The sequence below is a fragment of the Homo sapiens genome, chromosome 14 (assembly GCF_000001405.40).
Source record: "Homo sapiens chromosome 14, GRCh38.p14 Primary Assembly".
Lineage (NCBI taxonomy): Eukaryota > Metazoa > Chordata > Mammalia > Primates > Hominidae > Homo > Homo sapiens.
Genome location: NC_000014.9, coordinates 67,474,541 through 67,500,122, shown reverse-complemented (window position 1 = coordinate 67,500,122; position 25,582 = coordinate 67,474,541). Strand labels below are relative to the sequence as shown.

At 49.1% G+C, this 25,582-nt stretch overlaps 2 protein-coding genes across 13 annotated transcripts in view, besides 6 other annotated features; one reads left to right on the top strand and one right to left on the bottom strand.

Annotated features, from left to right (window-relative positions):
- Positions 1-25,582, bottom strand: part of GPHN (gephyrin) — a 1,227,209-nt gene that overhangs the window by 235,233 nt on the left and 966,394 nt on the right. The gene's annotated exons all lie outside the window — the stretch shown is intronic.
- Positions 1-25,582, top strand: part of TMEM229B (transmembrane protein 229B) — a 63,582-nt gene that overhangs the window by 33,728 nt on the left and 4,272 nt on the right. For 8 of the 12 annotated variants that reach the window (NM_001348546.2, NM_001348547.2, NM_001348548.2 and 5 more), the window contains one exon: positions 12,951-13,123. Coding sequence is in view for 1 of the 12 variants with exons in the window: in NM_001348541.2 (NP_001335470.1) it covers positions 13,006-13,123 (118 nt within the window). In the remaining 11 variants the exon portion in view is untranslated. Of the gene's footprint in view, positions 1-11,401; positions 11,616-12,304; positions 12,811-12,950; positions 13,124-25,582 lie in introns of those variants that run through there. The other 4 variants (NM_001348541.2, NM_001348542.2, NM_001348543.2 and 1 more) reach the window with 3 other exon arrangements.
- Positions 7,641-8,180: an enhancer, noted in NCBI's record as "H3K27ac-H3K4me1 hESC enhancer chr14:67958660-67959199 (GRCh37/hg19 assembly coordinates)". NCBI's record gives its function as "activates a minimal SCP1, AML or CMV promoter by ChIP-STARR-seq in naive H9 embryonic stem cells {active_cell/tissue: H9 hESC(naive)}" and the evidence as "EXISTENCE:reporter gene assay evidence [ECO:0000049][PMID:30033119]".
- Positions 8,181-8,721: an enhancer, noted in NCBI's record as "H3K27ac-H3K4me1 hESC enhancer chr14:67958119-67958659 (GRCh37/hg19 assembly coordinates)". NCBI's record gives its function as "activates a minimal SCP1, AML or CMV promoter by ChIP-STARR-seq in naive H9 embryonic stem cells {active_cell/tissue: H9 hESC(naive)}" and the evidence as "EXISTENCE:reporter gene assay evidence [ECO:0000049][PMID:30033119]".
- Positions 11,271-11,690: an enhancer, noted in NCBI's record as "active region_8580". NCBI's record gives its function as "activates an Ori minimal core promoter by ATAC-STARR-seq in GM12878 lymphoblastoid cells {active_cell/tissue: GM12878}" and the evidence as "EXISTENCE:reporter gene assay evidence [ECO:0000049][PMID:35858748]".
- Positions 11,271-11,827: a biological region, named in NCBI's record as "H3K4me1 hESC enhancer GRCh37_chr14:67955013-67955512".
- Positions 11,328-11,827: an enhancer, noted in NCBI's record as "H3K4me1 hESC enhancer chr14:67955013-67955512 (GRCh37/hg19 assembly coordinates)". NCBI's record gives its function as "activates a minimal SCP1, AML or CMV promoter by ChIP-STARR-seq in primed H9 embryonic stem cells {active_cell/tissue: H9 hESC(primed)}" and the evidence as "EXISTENCE:reporter gene assay evidence [ECO:0000049][PMID:30033119]".
- Positions 11,991-12,060: an enhancer, noted in NCBI's record as "active region_8579". NCBI's record gives its function as "activates an Ori minimal core promoter by ATAC-STARR-seq in GM12878 lymphoblastoid cells {active_cell/tissue: GM12878}" and the evidence as "EXISTENCE:reporter gene assay evidence [ECO:0000049][PMID:35858748]".

The following is a 25,582-nucleotide window of genomic DNA, read 5'->3' as shown; positions in this document are numbered from 1 at the left end:
GTGTGATCATAGCTCAAGGTATCCTCCCACGTGAGTAGCTGGGACTACGGGCAGAGACTCTGTACCCTTATTCACTTTTTTGATGCAAAAACTGTAGAGGAGCTATGACTGGGAGTTACAAGTATCAATGGTAGAGCCAGGCCTAAAAAGTCCTGTTTCTGGACCTTCCACTGGCCAGGAGACCACTCCCCTCCTTAATCCGCAGCCCCCAGGTGTCTTCAGATGGTGGAGGATGAATAAGCTATCCCGTCAATTGAAGGGCATAACTTTTTTTTTTTAACCCTTTGTCCCTGTTTAGCAGTGATGGTCATGCCTGTGGGAATTGAGGCTGCCTTTCCCCCACCATTAAATAACCAGCCCTTCTCAGAGTCTGAGCCATAAGTATTTCTGGCACTGCCTTTTTAACCTATTGGAGGTCTTCTGGGATCATCACTTCTCTGCCCCTATTCCTGTCCATGCTTCCTCACGATATAGCATTTTCCATAAATATACTAAAGCATCCTCTTACATACTGTTTACTCATCTTCTTGTCCATTAAGGAAGATATTCCACAGACCAAGCCTGGCACCTATTTATTTGACTTCATCTAAACACATCTTTGCCTCCAGACATTGAAACATTTATCATTTCCCTGGCCTGTAGAGATAACCTGTGGTCTTCTACCTATTGTCACTATGCTGGAAAATGCTGAGATATAGTGTAATTTGAATTAATCAGGGAAATGAAATTTCCCAAAGGTGCCAAACTGAATAGTTTTCTTAAGCTCCAGAGGTTGACTACATTGTCTGTGTACCCAGTTGATATCAATAAAAGACCATTAGTGGGGCACAGTGGCCCATACTTATAATCCCAGTGCCTTGGGAGGTCGAGGCAGGAGGATCACTTGAGGCCAGGAGTTTGAGACCAGCCTGAGCAACATAGCAGGACCCCATATCTACAAAAAAATTAAGAAATTACCTGGGTGTTGTGCCATGTGCCTGTAGTCCTAGCTACTTAGGAGGCTAAGGCAGGAAGATTGCTTGAACCCAGGAGTTTGAGTTTATGGTGACCTATGATCACACCACTGAACTCCAGCCTGGGCAACAGAGCAAGACCTTGTTTCTAAAATTAAATAACTAATAAATAAATAAATAAATAAATAAAACCATTGCCTTGTCTGGGCTCAGTGGCTCCTGCCTGTAATCCCAGCATTTTGGGAGGCCAAGGTGGGTGGATCAGCTGAGGTCAGGAGTTCAAGACCAGCCTGACCAACATGGTGAAACCCTGTCTCTACTAAAAATACAAAAAAAATTAATCAGGCATGGTGGTGTGCACCTATAATCTCAGCTACTCGAGAGACTGAGACAGGAGAATTGCTTGAACCCAGGAGATGGAGGCTGCGGTGAGCCGAGATCACGCCACTGGACTCCAGCCTGGGCGACAGAGGGAGACTCTGTCTTAAAAAGGAAAACCAACAACAACAAAACACATTGCCTTTATTCTGGGAGACTGATCACTTGAAGCCACCCTAATTCTGCTCATTCCTTCGTCTTTCTTGGCATTGCAGTTTCCCTTGCTTTTAGGGCACATTATCTGAAATGGTAGCCCTGTCTTTTATTTAGTAAATATTTGCAAATATAAGTTTTTAAGAGTCAGTATAATGCCTCAACCATACTCTAAAGGAGAAAGAAATAAAGGGAAAGTTAGTTATAATACTGTAGGGGTCAAAGCAAAGTCTCCCCTTTGCCTTCTGAAGGTTTGCTGAAAAATCAACTCACAAAACTCAGATTAATTGGAGAAAAAGCATATAAACTCTACTAATGTGTGCACAGGGAGAACCACAGAGTGATTGCCCACCCCCCATCGTGGCTCAGAAGCTTATAGAACGTCTTGGCAAACCAGGTATGGGAGAGGGGCAAAGAGGAATTCTGTTGATGGGTAATAAAAGATTATGAGGGAGGAATGAATGGATCGGGAACAGAGATTAATCTGTAAAGGCGTTCAGGTGGTTTTCAGGTGTGGTTACATTCTTGGTCTTACAGAGGAGAAGAAAAAACAATTGTTCTCTTTGGCGGTTCTGGATCTTAGGCAGATAAAAGAACTTCAGAGAACTTCAACCTCCTTTGGGAGTGTTGACGGGTAGTGGGGAGAAGGTCAGAGAGACCTTGAGGTATTGGTTTCTGAGCCCCAGCAATACATCATTATGTATTCTAATATGTGGTTGCTTGGGCACAACCATACAGAAGGCAGAAGGATGCAGTCAGATGCTTGAACCTTTACATAGACTCACCGAGAATGTAACATACACAAACACCCACAAGATACAGGTGTACTGTGTGGGTGACTCAAATACCAGGAGAGGTGCTGCTGGGGTTGACGTGACTTTCCAAAATGCTGAACCATTCCTGGTGAAGCTCAAAAGAACACAAAGTACAGTATCCCCTCCATTTTGCATGCTAATGGTGTTCCTAGACAACTCAGCATGTGTTAAAATCGTGCAAAAACCGCCTGTGTTTATTTTAGAAAGGGAGTTAGGATCTTGATATAGATAATTATAAATGGACATTTTACCTCTGTGATGTCCAGTAGAACGTTCCAAAGTCATGTGGGAGAGTTCTTTTGTTGGTCACGTGGGAATTGCATTCCAGGTGTCCACTTGTAAGTATCTGTGGCATTCCCCACCTACCATAGTGCTGACGGAGCTGCCCGTCAGTTCTTCCTCATCCCGGCACTGGAAGGAGGGCCCAGGACTGGGATACCTGCGTTCTCGGCCTGCGCTACAGTGTCTCGGTATTTGTATGACCTTAGGCAGGTTACACTTAACTCCACGTGCCTGGGTCTCCTCTCTGTAAAGGGGATGACCATGACACATGCATCTGGCCTAACCTCGGGACGGATGCTCACTGTGCTGCCCTCCCGTGACCCCAGACAACCCAGGGCATTCGTGTGTGCCCGCAGCATATACACCACCCACGAGCTCTCCCTCGCTGTGATTTCTCCTTACCATTTAAACATCCTTAGGTCTCTCTTATCTTGAAAGAGAGAGAGAGAAAGAAAGGCACGGTGGCTCAGGCCTGTAATCCCAGCACTTTGGGAGGCTGAGGCGGGCCGATCACCTGAGGTCAGGAGACCAGCCTGGCCAACATGGTGAAACCCCATCTCTACTAAAAATACAAAAATTAGCCAGGTGTGGTGGCGGGCACCTGTAATCCTAGCTACTCAGGACGCTGAGGCAGGAAAATCACTTGAACCCGGGAGGCAGAGGTTGCAGTGAGCTGAGATTGCGCCACTGTACCCCAGCCTGGGCAACAAGAATGAAACTCTGGCAAGCAAGCAAGCAAGCAAGAAAGAAAGACAGAAATGAGGGAGGGAGGAAGGGAGGGAGGGAGGAAGGAAGGAAAGAAAGAGAGAGAGAGAGAAAGAAAGAAAAGGGGAAGGGAAAAGAATAGGAAGAAAGGAGGGAGGAAGGAAGGAAAGAAAGAGAGAGAGAGAGAAAGAAAGAAAAGGGGAAGGGAAAAGAATAGGAAGAAAGGAGGGAGGGAGAGGGAGGACACCTCTCTCACGTCTACTTCTCTTCCAGCAGCTTTTCTCTCTCCTTTTCTTCACAAACTAATTTCTCAAGAGTCATCGCACACCCTATTGAACCTGGGTAGCAGAGGCTGCAGTGAGCAGAGATCGTGCCTCTGCACTCCAGCCTGGGTGACAGAGCCAGACCCTGTCTCAAAAAAAAAAAAAAAAAAAAAAAAAAAAAACGCCGGAGCAGTGGCTCACACCTGTAATCCCAGCACTTTGGGAGGCCAAGATGGGTGGATCACTTGAGCCCAGGAATTTGAGACCAGCCTGGGCAACATGACAAAACCCTGTTTCTACCAAAAATACAAAAATTAGCCAGTCTCATAACCTGGTCTCAAAATAAATAAATAAATAGATACAAAATTTTTAAAAATAATAATAAGACATAGGGTCACACTCTGTCACCCAGGCTGGAGTACAGTGGCACCATCTCAGCTCACTGCAGCTTTGCCCTCCTGGGCTCAAGCAATCCTCCCACCTCAGTGTCCTGAATAGCTGGGACTACAGTGGGTAAAGACTCTTTCAGCTGTTTGGCTGTGCGTTATCTAACATGGCCACACACAGCTGTGACAGTGAACCTGAGGAGGAGGCTGTGCCTGTGTCTGAGGGCTTTGCTTTGGAATTAGGTGGCTGTGATGGTGCTGAGGTGTTGAAATGGGGCACCTACCCTAGAAAGCCTGCCTGAGAGATCAGAAGGTAGGAACATGGCCTCAAGGCCTAAGTCAGGCAGTGTGACTTGGAATAGCATGTAACTTTAGGGGAAATAAAATATAAAATCCAGAAGGCTGGCTGGGCATGGTGGCTCACGCCTGTAATCCCAGCACTTTGGGAGGCCGGGGTGAGTGGATCACCTGAGGTCAGGAGTTCAAGACCAGCCTGGCCAACACAGTGAAACCCCATCTCTACTAAAAGTACAAAAATCAACTGGGCATGGTGGCGGGGCACCTGTAATCCCAGCTACTCAGGAGGCTGAGGCAGGAGAATCGCTTGAATCTGGGAGGCGGAGGTTGCACTGAATTGAGATTGTGCCATTGCACTCCAGCCTGGGCAACAAGAGTGAAACTCCATCTGAAAAAAAAAAAAATCCAGAAGGCTGTGATTTAACAAATGTAACCTGACTCATTATTATGGGCTGTGGACAAAACAGGTGTCAAAATATCTCCAGGAAATATTAACTACATATACGGATACACTCCAAAGTTTAACCCCGTCTTCTGGCATTAGGATGGATGCCTTCTGCAAGGTTGTTGATCCTGGGAGGAGGAGGTGGGAGTAAATCAATGGAGAAGCAAGAAAAAGGAGGGCCAAATTGGAAGAGGAAATGTTTCCAGGAGGGATTTGGCAGGCGGAAACCCCAGAGCTGGAATTTTTGTGCCCAGTGGAGACCTCTGATGACCAGTGTGGTTCTCCCTGGATTTGCCTCCATGTCTGTTCCTGGGCCCCACCCCCTGTCCTAATAAGAGGGTCCCTGATGTTTTTGCCTCCAAACTTTTTATTTAGAAATAATTTCAAATGTACAGAAAAGTTGCCAGAACAGTACAAAACACTCATATACTCTTTACCCAGATTCACCTGTGATTAACATTTTGCCCCATTTGCTTTATTTAATTTTAAATTTTTATGTAGAGACAAAGTCTCACTATGTTGCCCAGACTGGTCTCAAACTCCTAACTTCAAGCAATCTTCCCACCTCAGCCTCTCAAAGCGCTGGGATTACAGGCCTGAATCACTGCATCTGGCCACTTCTGTTTTTAAAATTTGGTGCTTCTTCTGTAGCCTTGGTTCTTGTCAAATGTTGGGCGAGCCTTCGTTCTGTGTTCCTCTGTTGGATCTTGGGGTCTTCAGGTCACCTCTCTGTGAATGCTGATTCTGTGCACCACAGCCAGCCATCACCGGCTGTGGACAGGAGGGTGGGATGTACCTGCTGAGCACTGACAAGAGCTGGTCTAGGCATCCCCTACCTCTCAACCCGTGTCCAGAGTATAAGCATGGTGTGTGGGGGCGGGGCCGATTGGCCTGGCTGCTCCAGATTCAATAACCACCAATTCAGGGCCCTTCCTGTGCCTGGATTTGCTGGCTGAAACCTTGTAGCCCCCACAGCTGCTTCTCTGATAGAGCACAGAACCCACAGGCACACTGCCTGGCTTCAAATCCTAGCCCTGCCCTTACTAGCACTGTGACCTTGAGAAAGCTGCATAACCTCTTTGGGTCTCATTTCTAAATTCTCTTCTCGGCCTTTCTCAGGCTGGTTTGAGGCTGTCCTAATGAATGTAATGGGTCCTCTTATCCTTTGTCAAAAGGAATGTTAATTATTTTCAGCAGTCTAATTACATGGTTAATGAGAGACTGACTGAGATAACATTCCCTTTAATTACTCTTGCCTAAGTGCTGTTTGGCGCCATATTTTAAGCATTAGCAAGACTGGGTGCTTTCTCAGTAGATGGAGCTGTCCAGTAAGGGGCTGAGTGAAGGGCAGGGGTTGTTGGGCTTAAGGCTTATGGTGGAGGTGCCTGGTGTGGCTGGGGTCAGTGTCCAGCTGAGTGCATGGTGGTCTTTCCTGTGGACTGTTACTTAAGGAAAGGAACAGTACCGATTGGTTCAGATGGAGAGCAGACAGCAACTGTCACAGATTCCCCAGAACAACTCTCATCCTTCAATTAAAAAAAAATTATTTTTAAATAAATAAATAAGTTTATTACATGTGTGAGCCACTGCCCCTGGCCTTACCCTGTCAATTTCAGACTGACATCCTTATAGCTCCAAGTCCAAAACAAAAAAGAAAAGGATGCCTCTTTTGTGGTCTCTGTGGCCATTCCAACAAGAATCTCAGGATTGGCTCTGATTGGAGCATGTATCCATCCCTGAACCAATCACAGAACCAGGGGAATGTGGTGCTGTGATTGGCCAGGCTGGGGCCTGATGCTCACCCCAACAGGCAGGGTATTGACAGCATCCAAAGCACACTGACCCTCAGTGTTGGAAATAAAGCTTGGTGTCGCAAAGTGAAACCAGCACTCAGGCAGAAAAAGTTTTCTCAGCAAGGCAATTTACTCCTGCAGAAGGGTGCGGCCTGTGTCAGTTACGATCACGAGAGCACACTGAACAAAGGAGAGCAGGGGTTTTTATCCCTAACACAGACCCTGTTCCTGTGTCCTCCCTGTGTTGGCTGGGGTTGGACCGCACAATCTAAACTAATTCCGATTGGCTACTGTTGACATCATCAAAGGAGGCAAGGGTGGGCACTTGGCGGGAAAGACAAGTACACAGGTGATGGCATATGCTTGGGCGTGTTTGGGTGCAACAGAGATAGGGAGGGCTGATAGATGGATGGGTAAGATTACTTTCAGAATAGAACAAAGAACAAGGAACTGAAACCTTTGAAGATAAACTGTGCCTAACACCAGCTACTCTGGCCTTGCTGTTTCTCAAACTTGTCTAACTTTCTCCTACTTCAGGGTCTCTTCACTAACTGTCCTCTCTGCCTGGAATGCTTTTCCCAAAGTTCTTTGCACGGCTTCTTCTCATCTTTCTAACCTATGCCCAAATGCTACCTCCTTAACATTTAAGACTCACCTTCCAGCATCGGGTTTCTTTATTTCCCCCACCTGGCCTTCCCCATCTTCATGGCATAATATTAAAACTTATAGTATGTTTAGAGCTGCTTAGTTATTGCTGATCTCCCACCTGCCTGTGAGCTCCAAGGGGGCAGGAACATTGTCTTGTTCACACATGGTACAGTACCTGGCCTTCACTGGGTCTCAGTAAATATTTGTTGACTGCTGGAATATAACACCTTGAATAAATAAACCAGCTACCACAGGACTTCTTGGACTAAGTTCCCTTGTTGTTTAGAAATCTCTAGGTGGCTTGGCTGTACAGGCTGTGAAAAGCGGAGTCCTGTTGTCACACCATAAGAGCGGTCCAGGCTTGTCTTCTGAAAGCCCTGCTGGGCTTCTTTCTGCCTCCCTGGTGAGGCAACAAAGGGGCAGGGTCCCCATCACTTCTGAAGGTGCAGCGTGGCAGGGTAACCTCCAGGACACCCTAAGGACATGGGCAGTAGTGGGAAGAACCCAGATAAAATCCTGGTCACTTTGCCAGTGAGGCTGTGAGGCCACTGCCTCTTTTTTCTGACTGACAGGAGAAGGCTTGCTGGTCTCATGTGCAGAGTATTCTAGGGCCTCTCAGCCGCTGCCTGATGGGATCTGCATAGGGGATTATTGATGAAGGCAAGGTGAGGCAGCTCTTTACAGTAACACATGCCTCACTCTGGGACGGCGGCCAGGCAGCTAATTAGAGAGCCCAGCAGCTGTCCAGCCTTTCAGGCAGCAAGCAGCAGCTACTGATTGCCGGGGGTGGGAATGGGAGGAAATAGACGTGGGACCAGAGACCACCCTCCAAGGCGATGGAGTTGGGTGGTCAGGGTTTGCTCAGTGGGGGACTTTGAGAGGGGCATGTGAGATAGAGTGGGCTAGATGGGGAGGAGGAAGGGGGAGAGGAGAGGGAAAGGACAGGTGGCCTCCAAGTGAGACAGAAGACAGTGGGGTGAGATGTCAGGCAGGTGGGGCAATGCAGCTTCCAAGCTCAGAGCAAGGGGCACAGAGGGGAAGGACAGGGCCCCGTGGGGTTGGGGCCTGGCTCCCATCTCCATGCACCTTCCCCATGCCAGGCAGGCCCCCGCGGCCTGGGCCTCTCCTTGCTTCCTGGGGGAGCTGGACAGACACAGGCTTTCCCCTCAGGGAATCTGGAATACTGATTGCTTTTGTAGTTGAGCTTGGCCCCTCCTTGGTGTAGGAAGTTACCAGATCCATTTGTGCTCAGGGCTTTTCTTACTCTAGGATAAGTAAAAGTGGTTGTTCTGAGTCACGTGAGAAGAACTGGGGGCTTTGAGTAACCAGAGGGCTCCCCAGTGGGCCTTTAGGCATCTTCTCTACTTTGTGGGCACCTGGGTCAGGGTGCGGTGTAATAAGAAATGTATTCGGTCTTTGTCCCGGGTCCCTGTCATAGAGCTCCTAAAACCCTTGAAATTTCCTGAGTGAAAGGAATGTCTTTTGTTATTCATAATAAGCACCTTTGATAACACCTGAGTTTATGCTAATGAAGTTACTGGGGAAGTGGTGGGGTGGTGGAGGGGCTAGACAGCCTCAGGATGGAGCCAGTCTCCAGAAAGACCAAATGCTTAGAGGATTAGAACATTTGGCCTCACCCTCCAACCTCCAAGAAAGGTGTGGGAGGGTGGAGATCAAGCTACATAAAAACTCTTGAATAAGATTTGATAGGTTTCTGGGTGGCTGAACATGTGGCGGTGCTGGTGGGTGACCCCCCAATACGTCACCCTATCCATCTCTGCATCTGGTTGCTCATCTGCACCCTTTGTGATAAATCAGTAAAGGTAAGTGTTTCCCCGGGTTCTGTGAGCCATCCTAGCAAATTAATAGAACCCAAGGAGGCGGTCATGGGAACCCTGGTTTGTAACCAATTGTTCAGAAGTATAGGTGACGATCTACTTGTGACTGGCATCTGAAGTGGGGGCAGTCTTGTGGGACTGAGCCCTCAGAATGTGGGATCTGCTGCTATCTCAGGATAGATAGCATCAGAGTTTAAATGAACTGTAGGAGACCCAGTTGGTGTCTGCTGGAGAAATGTGACCAGATATGGGGGGCATATCTGCCCCCCTCCACGCCCACCCCATATCTGGTCACAGAAGTGTTCTGCTTTGAGTGTGAGAGCAGAAGGAAAAAACTTTTTTTCCTTTACAGGGAGATTTGGGGAGTGTTAAGGAAAAGGAGAGTGGGGGTAAAAAAACAGAGGTAGTATTTGCCTGCATGCTTTCTGGCTCCAGTGTTAGGTTCCAGGCCAAGGAGATGATGAGGGGCCGGGGAGAGAGATCTGATTTTTAGGTTCTGGTCAGAGAAGCAGAGACTCAATCCTGCAAGCCCAGCTTACCTTAAATAGTTATAGGAAAGGAGAGAAAATGGTGCGAAGGGAATTTCCTGCCAGTAGCCTCTTTGGGAAGTGAATCCTATGTGCATGAAAACTGATGTGGCTTTTGAGAGTGCCAGCACATTGTAGAAATAACAGAACAGGAGTTGTTATTCTCTGACCTGAACCTGCGCTTGGCCCCTTGCCCACATAGGAGGCTGCAGTATCTCCCCTGATGCCTGGAACAGTCTGTTCCTGCCCCAGTCTTCCTTGCGTGATGTTGGACATGCCTTCTGTATTGTGCAAACCCAGGCCGCCCACTCTGCCTCTCTTCATTCTCTGGTGGTGCAATGGCTCCTGGAGATGGGAGAAAGGAGAGTGAGCACACTCCTTGCTTCCTTCACCTGCAGAGACAGCCTTGCCTTTAGTAAACCAACATGTATGGCTCATCTGTGATGGTGGCCTATAAATTAGAGAAAAACACAAGACATTGCTATGTTTGATTAGTAACATTGGATGTTTCAGTCGCCCAAGAATTTAAATGCAGCTGGGCCCTTCTCCACCTTGCCTGTCCATCCATCCAGCAGAAATTTTATGATCTCAAGAAATTCATAGCGTGGTGGGGGAAACAGACACATAGACAGAATTTTTTTTTTTTTTTTGAGACGGAGTCTCGCTCTGTCGCCCAGGCTGGAGTGCAGTGGCGTGGTCTCAGATCACTGCAAGCTCTGCCTCCCAGGTTCACGCCATTCTCCTGCCTCAGCCTCCCAAGTAGCTGGGACTACAGGTGCCCACCATCACACCTGGCTAATTTTTTGTGCTTTTAGTAGAGATGGGGTTTCACCATGTTAGCCAGGATGGTCTCGATCTCCTGACCTCGTGATCCGCCCGCCTCGGCCTCCCAATGTGCTGGGATTACAGGCGTGAGCCACCGCGCCCGGCTACATAGAAAGAATTTTAAGATGGGATGACATGTTTCAGTTGAAGGATGGTCAGATCCCCCTGGGAACATCAGTGATGGAATGACCTGGAGGTTGTGGGACGGCATCGCAAAGGAGTGAGGAGGGAGCAGGGTCTGGAAGAAGGAGTCAGAATGGTGGCTGCAGAGGAGGGCAGGAGAGATGACAGTGCTTGAAACAGGCCGGTGGTCTCTGCTTCTTCACGCTCCCAGCAGCGTCTCAGGCATATTGACCAGAAGCTGCATGGACAAACTCAGCTATAAGTTTGCAAAATAAGCAGCTTACTTGGAATGGACTAAGTAGTTTACACTGACTTGAAGACCCTTGCATGCAGACATGTGCCTTAAGGATGAGATTTGGGTGGGAAGCAGTTCGAAGGCACATTGTATGGGGACAGGGTGATTCTGGAGGCTGAGGACTGGGATTTGAATCAAATGTTTGGATTTGGCCAAATCTCTTAATGTCCTGAACCCTCTGTGTTTTCATTTCTAAAATAGAGGTGACCATTTCTGCCCTTCCTGCCCCTCAGGAGCCTGAGAAAATCATGAGAGATGATCTAAGTTCCATCCATATGTTAGTTGCTATAAGGGCTCATCATTCATTCATATGTTCCAAGAAACTCTGGTTCAGGTCCTGCAGTCCTCAAAGGAGCCTCATGTCCCCTGTCCCCTGGGATCTACTCTTGGGGGATAGGGAGTGTCAGTGAGGCCTAGGGACAGCTTATGCACTTGGAGGGAGAGGTGCACCATCATCTCATCCTCCCTGCAACTAAGTTTTTCCTGGGGAAAAAGCCTGCAGACCAGGAAGTGGGAGGTGTCTGGTGGGACACTGCCCTCAAAAGGAGCCTTTCTGAGTGCTGGGGCTTCATCTGCCAGGGCTGCACCTCAGCAGGCAGTGGGCTCCCAGAGCTGGCTGCAGTAACCCGCAGGCTGTGCCGGCAGGATGTGGTCTTTGGTTTCTGTTTCTGTTTTAGTTCTGACTTGTGCCGTGGATGTGGCTGAGGGCCTAGGGTGGGGAGAAGTCTCCACAGGTGGGATTGAACTCCCCAGGCACATGGTCCTTGTGGTGCTGGTGGAGAGAGAGTCCCAGAGGGTTCGGACATGCTCCGTTAAAACCTTTTCCTCAAGGTGATAGGTACGTGTCAAGGTGACCCCTGTCCGCCATCCGGCAGGCTGGAAGAAGCCGGTAAGATGGACAGATCAGGGAGGGTTGGAGGGTCCCGTTTGTGAAGGAGCTGGGGAGGGGGAGGCAAGGCTGAGCACAGCAGCCCACTGTGATGCTCTCAGTGCAGAGGCCCCGGGGGGAGACCCAGGGGGGCACCCCCCAAAACCACACCATACAGTGAGTTTCAGTTCCCCCACTCCTGCCCTTTCACTTCTCCTCGGCTGCCTGGCTGCCTCACAGGTTGTCAGCTTGAGCAAGGGCCCAAGCGGCCTCTACTCAGAGACCCTGGTGGTCAGAGGGGAGTGGGGAAGGTGGACATGGGCATCAGCACAGACCAGCACCTCTGGTCCATCCTGCCTGGTCATCCACAGGGGAGTGCCAGCTCCCACCCCCAGCCACATACTGTTCTCAGCTTCTGAGTGGCTGGGCTGTCCCAGAGGGCCATGCTGGGCCTGAGTGCTGTCCTTGGGCATATGCAGATGGTGTTGTATCCAGGGGGTTTTCAGGGAAGCTTTAGCACTTTCATATTAAAACAAAAAATGTTGGAATCTCCATTAAATAGTCAAGTCTTAGGGATAGTAGTAAAAACATGGCTGTACATGGCTGGCCAGGCACAGTGGCTCACGCCTATAATCCTAGCACTTTGGGAGGCTGAGGTGGGAGGGTTGGCCAAGAGCTTGAGACCAGCCTGGTCAACATAGCAAGACCCGTCTCTACTTGATTTTTTTTTTTAAAGTACATGGCAAAGGGCATTATAAAGTAAGATTTGTATTAGCTTGTAGCTGGTTACTGATGTTCATAGGAAGGGCCTCAACCATAATAATGGTGAAATAATAAAATGAGATGAATAAATATTAGAGAGGTAGAATAGTACGTAGAAAGGTTTAGCACACATTTTGTTTTTCTGCACGAGTGGTTGTTCTCTGCTTTCAAAGTGCTGAAACGAATGTCCTACATTGTCTGCCTTCCATGAGGTTCTGACCGCCCTTGAGAACAGATGTACCCACTACAGGGTGAAGGTGAGAATGTAATTTGAAGCTGAATGAGAATGGAGCTGGATTCTAAAATTATATCCCCTCTCAGATTCACAAGTGTTCACACATTTAGGCAAGAAGCCCTAAGTCCTAACCCTGGACATGTGGATTGTCCAGGACCATCCCAGACTTTTGTGGCTGGATTAATCAGACCTGAGCAAACTGGATGCAAAGAGGAGGGGGTAGGTTCCGGGAAGGGGCCCTGGTGGCCAGGGTGGGATGAGTGTCTGGTGCTGAGCCCAGAGCCCAGGCCCTTGCAATGTTTTTCTTGGATCTGCTGGGGGCAGTTTAAGCTAATAAAAGCCTCCTCTTTTATTCCCAGGGACACATGGAAGCTGCCAGCCCCCCAGCCAAGGATCAGCTGAGCCCTAGGGCTGATGCTTGCCTACGTTGCTGAGAATGGCACTGAGGCCCAGCCAACAAAGGTTAACCCAGGACACTCCTGGACAGTGATCCTGATGTCTGTTGTGAGCTGCACACTCAAGGGTGTGATAAGTGAGTATGTTACAAGCACCCAGGGGATCACCAGCCCAGCGATCCTGCCTGCTCGGCACCTCATCAGCATGGGCACGAGTCTGGAGGTTCTAGTTCTGAGTCTGTTCCCCATCCAAGGTCCTGTCACAGGGCAATGGGAGGGGAATGTCAAGCAATATTGGGCCATCACATGCGGGAGCCGTCTTATGGCCACATGGCCTCTAAAATCCAGGCCAGACCCAGTGTATTAGTTTGTTTTCGTGCTGCTGATAAAGACATACGTAAGAGTGGAAAATGTATACAGAAAAAGAGGGTTAATTCCACGTGTCTGGGGAAGCCTCACAATCATGGTGGAAGGCAAGGGGAAGCAAGTCACATATTACAAGGTTGGTAGCAAGCAGAAAGAGAGCTTGTGCAGGGAAACTCTCCCTTATAAAACCATCAGATCAGCCGGGCACTGTGGCTCACGCCTGTAATCCCAGCACTTTGGGAGGCCGAGGTGGGTGGATCGCAAGGTCAACAGATTGAGACCATCCTGGCCAACATGGTGAAACCCCATCTGTACTAAAAATACAAAAATTAGCTGGGCATTGTGGCATGCACCTGTGGTCCCAGCTATTCAGGAGGCTGAGGCAGGAGAATCGCTTGAACCTGGGAGGCAGAGGTTGCAGTGAGCCAAGATCGTGCCATTGCACCCCAGCCTGGCAACAGAGCAAGACTCTGTCTCAAAACAAAACAAAACAAAAACCCATCAGATCTCATGAGATTTATTCACTATCACAAGAACAGCATGAGAAAGACCTGGCCCCATGATTCAATTACCTCCCACCCAGTTCCTCCCACAACATGGTGGAAATTCAAGATGAGATTTGGGTGAGGACACAGCCAAACCATATCATTCAGATTGTCTGGCGTGAGTGAAGCGAGCACTCACACCTGGGAAACAGCATCTACTTTGGCCGTCAGGCTTCAGATCTGTGCAGTGAGGACCATGCATCACCTGGGACTGGACTCTGCCCAGAAGCCATGAGCAATGCATGTGCTGCTGGTCTAGGAGGCCTGGAGTAGGGCATCCAGGGCCCTGGGAGGTGGGGGGATTTGTGAGCCTTAGCTGCCATAAGAGTGACCACCAGGGGATCTGGAGGAGCATGTCCTCTTGCTTTTGTCACATATCAGCAGCAGCATCTCCTCCTCAGCGAGACAAGCTCGAGGTAGGGTGAGAGGCTCCTAACTGCACAGCCCTGCCTGTCCTCACAGGCCTTTCTTTCCAGCCTCAGCCCCTGGCTTTTCCTTGATGATGCCTTAAAAAATGACAATTGGCTGCTTTCCCAACCCCCAGAGGCCTGTCTGGCCTGAAGGCTGTTATGTCTGTGCAGGGCCCGTAGCCTGGTGGGATCAGAGGCCTGCAGGAAGGAAGCTCCCCAGAAGGCATGGCAGGCAGAGCTGGGCTTTTGCAATCTTGAACAGACAAGCTTTTTTTGGAGTTCCTAGGCTGGTCCATGGGAACCCAGAGCTTCAGATTCCATGCAGGAATTTGCAGGGAGTAGAAAAGGGGTAATCAGGTCTTTTTCCACTTTAGGTAGATCTTGACTCTCCTAGTTGACAGTTTATAATTCAGGGCCAGAATCTGTTTTCCACTCAGCCTGGGCTTACAAAGTCAGTTTGACTGGAGAGTTTCTCAGGAAGTGTGTTCTTGAGTTGATTTGTAGCCAGGGTGGTGTGAGCAAGCCTAGACTGTAGGAGGGGAGTTGGGGGTAAAGAGATGGCCATGGGTGCCTCTGTGGGAACGTCGTTCCTCAGATGGGAGGCACATCTCCCCAGAGCAATTTATGCCATCAGCCTTAAGGCTGTTGTACCGTTTGGTTCAGTGATTCTCCTTCTGGAATTATCCATTAAGATATATTATTAGGAAATAGTACCAGAGAAGAAAAGGGCTGAATTCTTCCATTACAGGCATTAAAGGTAATTCTCGTTATATCATCTGTAGTAGTAGAAATGGGAAACAACTGTTCCCTTTGGACATCTAGGTTAAGTAAATTACAGTTTTCCGCTTGCTGGAATATTACACAGCCATTATAATAATGAGCACAGAGGCTATATAACAACTTGGAAAAACAGTTATGACAAGTAAAAATGGCAGGTTGCAGAATAAGTATATTATGGTGACTTGTAAAATACACACATAGGAAAATATTGCAAAGGAGAAATGGTAATCGCTGTTAGTTCAGAATTATGAGTGCTTTTTCTTTTTTTTTCTTTATTAGAAATGAGGTCTCACTATGTTGCCCAGGCTGGTCTCAAACTCCTGGGCTCAAGCAGTCCTCCCGCCTCAGCCTCCCAAAATGCTGGGATTACAGGTGTGAGCCCCCATGCCCGGCCTATGAATGCTTCTTCTATGATGCATGGATTGGCTTTTTAAAAAATAAAATTGAATCCGGATGACTACACAACATACCATTAATAGTGACTTTCTCTAAGATGTGTGATTACAGGGAACTTTTGCTTTCTATGTCATTCTGTAATGTTTAAATTTCAGCTGTGAGCACATGTTGCTTTTATAATTAGAAAAAAAATTAAATGCTAGAATTAAATGTTTTAGAAGGCTATATTTCTCAAGAAAGGAGGGAAGAGAGACCGAGGCAGCTAGCTGTTTATACCTGCCCTCATCAGTGTTTAAGGGCCTGGGCCTGTTTGGGCCCACTCATCCATCCATTCATTCCACAAGTATTACTAGGTATTATTGCCAGGCACCACTCTAGGCACTGACTAAACAGCAGTGAACAAGACAGTGCCCCTGCTCTCATGAAGTTTTCATTCTAGTTGAGGAGAGACAGACCATAAATAAGTAGCAACATATCAGAAAGTGAAAGTGCTATGTAGAAAATAAAATGGAATGATGTGAGTGACAGAGAGGCTATTTTGGACTGGGGATCAAAAGTCCCTGAGATATGACAGCTCAGCTGAGATCTGAATGGTAACAGCAAGGCAGCCACATACAGGTCTGGGATGCCAGCCTGCCAGTCCCCCGTGCAGGGCATCCTTCGCTTTCTGAGCCCCAGGGACCTCTGTGCCAGAACTGACTCCATCCCCCAAGCCCACTCACCCTGCCCTGCCTCCTGCTGCGGTTTGCTTGGGATCTGAGGCCCCCTGAAATCCTCTGTGTTCGGACCGCTCCTCCTGACATGCTGGCTGTTGCTCCTCTGGGCAGCTGGCCCCTGCTCTTGGCTGGTGTCTCCATGGCAGGGCTGGGCCGGGCCATCTGAGACTCCCAGGAGCACTGGTGTGGGCTGGCAGTCAGGGGGCCTCTGGGTTGTGTGTGTCCTGGTGAGGGGCCTTTGAATGGCGCATGCCTTGGGGCCTGAGGGTTGGTTGCTGTCATGGTCCTGTGACTGTCAGCTTTGACCCTGGAGGGCCTCTGTGTGGATCCCGAGGAACAGGCTGGGAGCCTTTAGGAACTCTGACACCCAGTTGGGAAGTTTGTTAATGAACCACCTAGAAGTTCACAACCTTCTCCTTGCTTCCTGTTGTCTCTCCACATACCATCCCAGCCTTCCAGAAGCAGGAACTCAGAAAATGGTAGTGCCCTCAGAGGAGCCTGCAGTCAGCCTCGGGGGCAGTGCAGTGTGCTGATTAGGAGCAAAGACTCTGGAACCAGATTTGTGGGGTTTGAATCCCAGCCTTGCCTTTTATAGTTATTAGAATGTAGGCTCGGCCAGGTGTGGTGACTCGTGCCTATAATCCCAGCACTTTGGGAGGCCGAGGCAGGCAGATCACTTGAGGTCAGGAGTTCAAGACCAGCCTGGCCAACATGGTGAAACCTCGTCTTTACTAAAAATACAAAAATTAGCTGGGTGTGGTGGCAGGAACCTATAATCCCAGCCTCTTGGGAGGCTGAGGCATGAGAATTGCTTGAACCCGGGCGACAGAGGTTGCAGTGAGCCAAGTTCACACCACTGCACTACAGCCTGGGTGACAAAGTGAGACTCCATCTAAAAAAACAAAAAACAAACAAAAAAAGAACGTAGCCTCTTTCTGCCTCACTTTCCCCATCTGTAAAATGGGCTTGAGAATTTTTTGAGTTAATACATGGAAATACTGAGAAGAGCACCTGGTTATTATTATTACTGTGACTTGGGAGGTGGAGGGAGGACTTCATCAAGGCCTGCAGTATCACTAATCCCAGGGGCTTTCCTTGGGGGGCACCCACAGCAAGAGGGTGGAAGTCTGCAGCATGTGCACCAGCCAGTGGCTACAGGAGTTTCCCTCCACTTGCTTCCCTTCTGGCCCTGGGCAAGCCCTATTTTCCTCCCTGCTAACTTGATGACAACAGGGGAAGTTCAGGGAGGTTTCTGCCCTTTCCTCATTGAAGCCACTTATCTTCAGCACAGAGCCGCCCAAGGGCTCCTGAAGCTGTCCCCCGCTGCGTTGCCTCAGGGGTCTCCTAGAAGGGCTGTGGGTCTCCCCAGAACATGGAACTGTAGTGATGGGGGTGGCTGGGGATGGGGAGTGAAGCTTGGGAAGTGAGTGGAGTGAAAGCGGAAGGCCTTCCCAGCCCGGTTGCATGGGAGGGGAATCCCAATTTTCTGGCCAGATGCTTCTCTGGACAAAAATTCCCAGAGTCACTGTGTTGTGGCACCTTAGCCCCCTGAAACAAGATGGGAGTTTTTGACAAAACCAAGGGCAGTTATTCCATCTGGTTTTGCCTTCAGCCTGTCTTAGACTTTTATGGCAGCCTCTTTACCCCTCTCAACTGCTGGCCATGTCCCCTGCCACCCTGTGGAACAGCAGGCTCGGAGAGCAGCCGGTGAGATGCTCTTAGTGAACAGGGCTCTGAAAGCCAGATCCCCTTCCCCTTCCCCATCACCTGTTCCCTTGAAGGGGTAGTTCCTAGACCTCACAAGTCACCTTGAGTCCTGGCCCTTCGATGGGACTCTGTTTGCCCAGGCCCTTTCATCAGGTATGAGGACTCTCGGATTTGAATGTTGTTCAATGAAACCCTGCTTGTGAAGCTATCCTTTGCTCTCCAAACTCTGTCCTCCTGCATTCAACCTTGCTCACACTCTCCTCCTCTTCAATCCACCCTGAATTTCTGTTCCTGGGCTGTCCTATCTTCATGTCACAGGTCTCAGGACAGTTTTGTTTGTCACCAGGAGAAAGAAGCCAAGGTCCCCTGAGCTGCCGGTTCTCCCTGCAGCAGGCTTTCCCAGGGCTCTGATCCCAGGGCTGAGCAAGGAGCTAGTGGAAGGAGCCTAAGGATATAGGGAGTCGGGTGGGTGGAGGCCGGGGCAGGGAATAGAGGCCTGTCAGGCCCTGTATGGGGTGGGCGAGCCTGTCCTAGCTCAAAGTTAAGCACAGCTCCTGTGCTGATTAGAAATGGGTTTGGAGAGTGGGGTTCTGAAAACGCATCCAAGTCAATGCCCAGCCTCTAATATTATCATCTTCCCCACCACACTGGGAGCTGCCACCTCAGCCAATGACACTGTCTCCTATTCCTTTCTCTTCAACCCCATCTTCTGCCCTGACTCAGGTCTTTCATTTCCCCTGTTGGTCTTGCATGGACCAGCTATGTTCTCCTAGTTCTGCCCTCGGACACTGTCTGACATTGCCGTGGTGTGCTTCCCCTCCATCTACTACCCATGGCTTCCTGCTGCCCAGAAACAGAATCTGGGCTTGGGGCACACCATATTTCTCTCTCCCCCATCTCGCTTTTTTGTTTTTCTTTCTTTCTTTCTTTTTTAAGAGACAGGGTCTTGCTCATTGTCCATGCTGGAGTGCAGTGGCACAATCATAGCTCACTGTAGCCTCAAACTCTTGAACTCAAGGGATCCTCCTGCCTTAGCGTCTGGGACTACAGGCACACCACATCAAACCAGCCTACTTTTTTTTCTTTTTGTAGAGATGGTGGTCTCGCTATGTTGCCCAGGCTGGTCTCGAACTCCTGGCCTCAAGCTATTCTCCCACCTCAGCCTCCAAAAGTGCTGGGACTGCAGGCATGAACTCCATCCTCTCTTCTGTTCAGCAACTTCCTGTCTCTCACCCTAGGTTTCTCTCTCCCTTTGACAGCTACCCCTTTCTTCTTGCTTCTGCTCCAAGGGTTTTGGGATCTGACTCTCCCAAGTTACTTGCTGGGGTTGGGGAAGAGACTGGACCCTCCCGTCTGTTACCAGCTGGGAAACCGGTCTGGGCCATCCCAGAGAGATCAGAGGCAAGAAGAGCAGGGTTTAAAGTCAGCTTCAAGGCTGGGGTCTGGCCTGAGTAATGAGATCCACACAGTCATGTCAGGCTGCTGCAGGAGAGCCCCTGTGAGGTTCCTGTTCCCTCAGCCCGGGCCCTGGGGGTTGGAAGAGCCAGGGGGATACGTGCAGGTCATGGGGCCTGAGTTGGGGTAGGAGGTCCAGAGGTCTCCACATCCCTGTGCTGTGCCATCTGTCTCAGGCCCTCAGACCGCCTCAGTGTGTTCCCCTGGAGCCTGGATCTGTTCTCTCCTGCCCGGGGGTAGGAGGTTAAATGAGGGGGTGAGAGGCTGTGCCCCTTTCATTCCACCATCTTTTCAAGTCTGCCCCTCGGGCTGGCTCTGACACCCTTCCTCTTCCATTCATCCCTCGGTAGCCACAGGGAAGCTGGAGGCTCACCTTCAGTCTCCCGGGATGTCTGTGGGAGTTTTGTTCTCCTGAGGGCCATATGTGGGGTTATTATTGCCACCCGATTTCTTGGCTCGCTAGCTTGGTGCTCAGGGTTGTGATGAAGACCTAACCTGCTTGACAGGAAGGGCTGCCTGGAGGCTGCCGAGAGCAGGGGCACAGTGACCCTGCATCGGGTAAGAGGCGGTGTAAAAGCAGGAGGGGCTGTCCAGAGGTCTGGCTCTGTGCCAGAAATGACAGCTGCCCTTTCTGGAGCCTTAGCTGTATTTTAAGTAGTGTATATGTACGAGTTCATTCGTCCTCACAACAGCCTTCTGTGGTCATTACTTCCGTTATCCTCACTTTACCTACAAGGACCCTGAGGCACAGGGTGGTTGGGCAGCGTCCATTAGGTCTCACAGGTGGAAAGCATCAGCCAGGATTCCAACCCAGGCAGTTAGGATCATCTGGGGTCCCTGAACTTAACCAGCTGGCCATATTGAGACCTGTGAGGCATGGTTTGTTGTTGGATGACACAGGAGGGAAGAGCCTGCAATAATTTTACATGACTTCAGGTTTCTTTGGGTTCATTTGCTTAGCAAATTCATTGAACACCTTCTATACACGAGGTATGAATACGGTGAATACATATTCATTCCACAAGCATTTTTTTTTCCTTTTTTGAGACGGAGTCTCACTCTGTCACCTAGGCTAGAGTGCAGTGGCGCTATCTCGGCTCACGGCAACCTCCGCCTCCCAGGTTCAAGCGATTCTCCTGCCTCAGCCTCCCGAGTAGCTGGGATTACAGGTGCATGCCACCATGCCCGGCTAATTTTTGTATTTTTAGTAGGGATGTGGTTTCACCATGTTGGCCAGGCTGGTCTCGAACTCCTGACCTCAGGTGATCTACCCACCTCGGCCTCCCAAAGTACTGGGATTACAGGCATGAGCTACTGCACCCAGCTTCCACAAGCATTTTTTTTTTTTTTTGAGACAGAGTCTTGCTCTGTAGCCCAGGCTGGAGTGCAGTGGTACGATCTCGCTCACTGCTACCTCCACCTCCTGGGTCCCGGTTCAAGCAATTCTTCTGCCTCAGCCTCCCGAGTAGCTGGGATTACAGGCACACGCCACCACGCCCAGCTAATTTTTGTACTTTTAGTAGAGACAGGGTTTCACCATGTTGGCCAGGCTGGTCTTGAACTCCTGACCTCATGATCCACCCACCTCAGCCTCCCAAAGTGCTGGGTTTACAGGGTGAGCCACCACGTCCAGCCTCCATAAGCATTTTTAAGATGAAATTTTAGTTTTATAAAAGTTATACATGCTTGTTAGGAAAAAAAAGTATGCAGAAAAATATAAAGAAAAAAAGCACATATGATATCACCATCCAGAGATGATTGTTGTTTAATTTTTTTGTATATGTGCACATATGCATGCCTTTGCAGAATCGGAGTTAGGTTGAATATTCAGTTTTGAATCCTGCTTTTTTCTCTTACCACTATCTTAAACAAGCATTCCTCAGGAGGCTGCTGGTGCTGGCGTTCAGATGAATCCAGTGAAGCAGAGTGCTCACTATTACCACAGAGAAGGGAGGGTGCAGAAGTGGGAAGACAACTCTGGAGTCAGGGTGCTTAGGAAAGTCCTCACAGAGGAGGAGCTGGGTCTTAAAGGAGGGTTCACCGGCCCTGGGTGGGGCCCAGGTAGCAAAAACAGCAAGGTAGAGATCTGGAGGACAGGATTGGAGGCAGGGACGAGTTGTGAAGGGCTTTGCCAGCCGTCCCCAGGGGTTTGAGCTTTATTTACTCTGTAGATGTTGAAGATCCACTCATGGGCTTCAAGTGGTGAGAAACATCGGATTTGCATTTTAGAAAGGTTGCGTTTTTTCTACACACTCTTTCATCCTGTGATGAGTGAATTAGAAGGAAGAAGGCAAAGCTGGGAGACCTTTGGAGTCATCCAGGTGAGACATGATGAGGGCGTGAACCAGAGCAGTGGCAGCAATGAGAAGAGTAATGAAGAGGAGGGGATGGATCCCAAAGATATTTAAGAGGTGGTAAGGGTGGGAGTTAGTAGCTGACTTGGTGGCTTTCCCTTGGCCAGTGGGATGATGGTGGGCATGGCTTAGCCAGGGTCTTGAACCACACTTGTACAGCTAGCCTTGCTCAGCTTTGTGCCTCTGCCCTTGCCATGAGAAGAATATGCCCAGGCAAGTCCACTGGGCCCCGGAGGAGGATGAGAGACAGGTGGAGTGGAGCTACGCTGCCCCAGCCGTCTGCCAACCACAGACATGTGAGCTGTAATAGTAGACGGTAGTTGTTTTAGGCCAGGGTTTTTGAGATGATTTGTTATATGGCGATTGCTAACTAAGAAATGTCTTTATTCTTCTCTTGAATGCTTACTATGTGCTGGGCTTTGTGCCAGGCACTGGGAATACTATGCTGAACCAGGCAGGCAAGGCCCTCACTCTCAGGAACTCATGTTAGGGTGGGGATGTGGCAGAGGAAGCCAGACAGACTTTGAGACCGCTGGTTCTAACTGGGTGCATGGTGGTGCCATTAATTGGGGTGGGGGTCTTAGGAGAGAAACAGGTTTTGGGGAAAAGATAATGGGTTTGATTTTATTTATTTATTTTTTAGAGACAGAGTCTCACTGCATTGTCTAGGCTAGTCTTGAATTCAAGAGTTCTGGGCTCGAGCGATCCTTCTGCCTCTGCCTCCCAAAGTGCTAGGATTACAGGCATAAGCCACCACACCTGCCCATGGGTTTGATTTAGGAAAGGAGTTTGGGATGCCTGTGGGACATTAGGGGGAGCTGTCTAGGGAAGGGCAGGAGCTATAGGTGTAGCACACAGGAAAGAGGTCTGGCCGGGGACAGAAATTCTCAATATAATATTGAAAATAACCTGTAGCAAAGGGAGTGAGACAGAGTAAGTGCTGTAGAAATTCAGAAGAGGAAGAGAAGCCTTGGGACCTGGGGGAATGAAAGAGATTTTGTTCTGAAGGTAACCTGCAAGCTGGTTTATACTCATGGAAGTGAGAGGAGAAAGGCACGCCTAACAGAATGAATAGGACCTGCAAAGGCATGGAGATGAAAGACAGGAAGAGCTGGATTGTGAGGAAAAGGCTGAAGATGTCAATCGGGGCAAGGTCATGAAGAATCTTGAATGGCAGGCCAAGGATGCTGTTGTGTTTCATTAGGAAATAAGGAGATATCGAACATTTTTTTTTTTTTTTTGAGATGGAGTTTCGCTCTTGTTGTCCAGGCTGGAGTGCAATGGTGCGATCGCGACTCACTGCAACCTCCACCTCCCAGGTTCAAGCGGTTCTCCTGTCTCAGCCTCCTAAGTAGCTGGGATTATAGGCGCATGCCACCACATTTCAGCTGAAGCAGGCCTGGTCACATTAATACCTACCCATCCATTGTTTTTTTGTATTTTTAGTAGAGACAGGGTTTCATCATTTTGGTCAGGCTGGTCTTGAACTCCTGACCTCAGGTGATCTGCCCATCTCCGCCTCCCAAAGTGCTGGGATTACAGGCGTGAGCCACTGTGCCCAGCCACTATCGAGCATTTTTGAGCAGGGGAGAGACATTTGGTACGTATGTCTAAGAGATGGGCAGTCATGTGCAGGGGATGAGTTCTGCAGTAGAAAGCAAGAGATATTGGTTCTAATCTCAGCTCTTCCATTTACTGGCCCTGGGATATGGGGTAAATAATGTCCCCTCTCTGAGCTCTGTCTCACTGCAAAAAAATGGGAGTAAAATTTTCTGACCTTCACATGAATCTTTTTTATTTTATTTATAAATATATTTTTTGGAGAGGAAGTCTTGCTCTGTTGCCCAGGCTGGAGTGCAGTGGCATGATCTTGGCTCACTGCAACCTCCGCCTCCTGGGTTCAAGCAATTTTTCTGCCTCAGCCTCCCAAGTAGCTGAGACTACAGGTGCATGCCACCACACCCAGCTAATTTTTGTATTTTTAGTAGAGACAGGGTTTCACCATGTCGGCCAGGTTGTTCTCAAACTCCTGACCTCAGGTGATCCACCCGCCTCAGCCTCTCACAGTTCTGGGATTACAGGTGTGAGCCACTGCGCCCAGCCTGAATTTTAATTATGTAAGAACCATGACAAAATGCGAACGAAGTGCTTGGAAGACCACAGAGCAATGCACAAGGCTGGGTAGGTATTAATGTGACCAGGCCTGCTTCAGCTGAAATGTGAGGCTGGAATTCCCAGACAGGTGTGCATACTACAGATGCCATTTCCTTAACCTCTGTCTTTTCTCCCACCTTGGAGAGGGGATCGACAGAGATGTGAAGCCATTAGCAGCTGGCAGAGCTGGGATTTATGTTCTCAAGCCCTACCTTCCCATTCTTGATGCAGTCCCACACCTCCCTCCACATGAACAGGACATGTCATTTAGAGAGGGCCTGCCCAGGACGGGCCTGCGTCAAGGCCACAAAGCACTGGCCTGTGCAACAGTCACTATCCTCAAGGAGTTCACATGCTAGTTGGATCATGAGAGCACATACCTCAAAAAGCCATTGGGGTGGCACCTGATAATGGGCCAGGTAAGTGGTGCAGACAGTCGCTGGTGGAGGGTGAGGAGAAAGTAGAGAGAAGCAGCATGGGAGCCGGGCGTTGAAGACTGGTGGGGTTTAAAAGAGGGGAGGGGAAAGGAGCCAGAAGGACTGGGGAGGACTCTTTCCTGTGTCAATCCATTGGTTTCCCCTCAGCACTGAAACCAAACACCAAAACCCCATTTAATGGAGCAAAGACAAATGTGACCACAATGAGAGAACCACCTCACACCCATTAGGATGGCCATTATAAAAACAAAACAGAAAATAACAAGTGTTTGGGGTGGATGTGGAGAAATTGGAACCCTTGTACATTGCTGATGGGGAATGTAAAATGGTGTGGCCACTGTGGAAAACAGCACAGTGGTTCCTCAGAAAGTTAACCATAGAATTACCATATGATCCAGTATTTCCACTTCTGCATATGTACTTGAAAGAGTTGAGAGCAGGGACTCAGACAGACCTTTGTACACCCGTGTTCATAGCAGCCTTATTTTGAGTAGCCAAAAGGTAGAAGCAACCCAGGTGTCCATCAATGGATGAATGGATAAACAAAATATGGTGATATATACAATGGAATATGATTCCGCCTTTAAAAGGAAGGAAATTCTGGCTGGGCACAGTGGCTCACGCCTGTAATCCTAGCACTTTGGGAGGCCAAGGCGGGCGGATCACCTGAGCTCAGGGGCTTGTGACCAGCTTGGGCAACATGGTGAAACCTCGTCTCTACTAAAATTCAAAAATTAGCCGGGCATGATGGTGTGTGCCTGTAGTCCCAGCTACTCAGGAGTCTGAGACAGGAGAATCGCTTGAACCCAGGAGGCGGAGGTTGCAGTGAGCCAAGATTGCGCCACTGCACTCCAGCCTGGACGACAGAGCGAGACTCCGTCACAAAAAAAAAAAAAAAAAAAGAAGGAAATTCTGACATGTGCTGCAACATGGATGAACCTTAAAGACATTAGGCTAAGTGAAAGCTAAGCCAGTTATGCTAAGCCAGTCACAAAAGGACAGTGTTTGTATGATTCCACTTATATGAGGCACCCAGAGTAGTCAAATTCATAGAGACAGAAAATAGAATAGTGGTTGCCAGGGGCTGAGGGTATGGGGAATGGGAGTTTGTATTTAATGGATACAAAGTTTCTGTTTGGGACAATGAAAAAGTTCTGGAGATGGTTGGTGGTGACAGTTGCACAACAATGTGAATGTACTTAAGACCACTGAATTGTACACTTACACATGGTTAAAAAATGGCATGCACACACACAAGGACAAATGTGATGAGTCA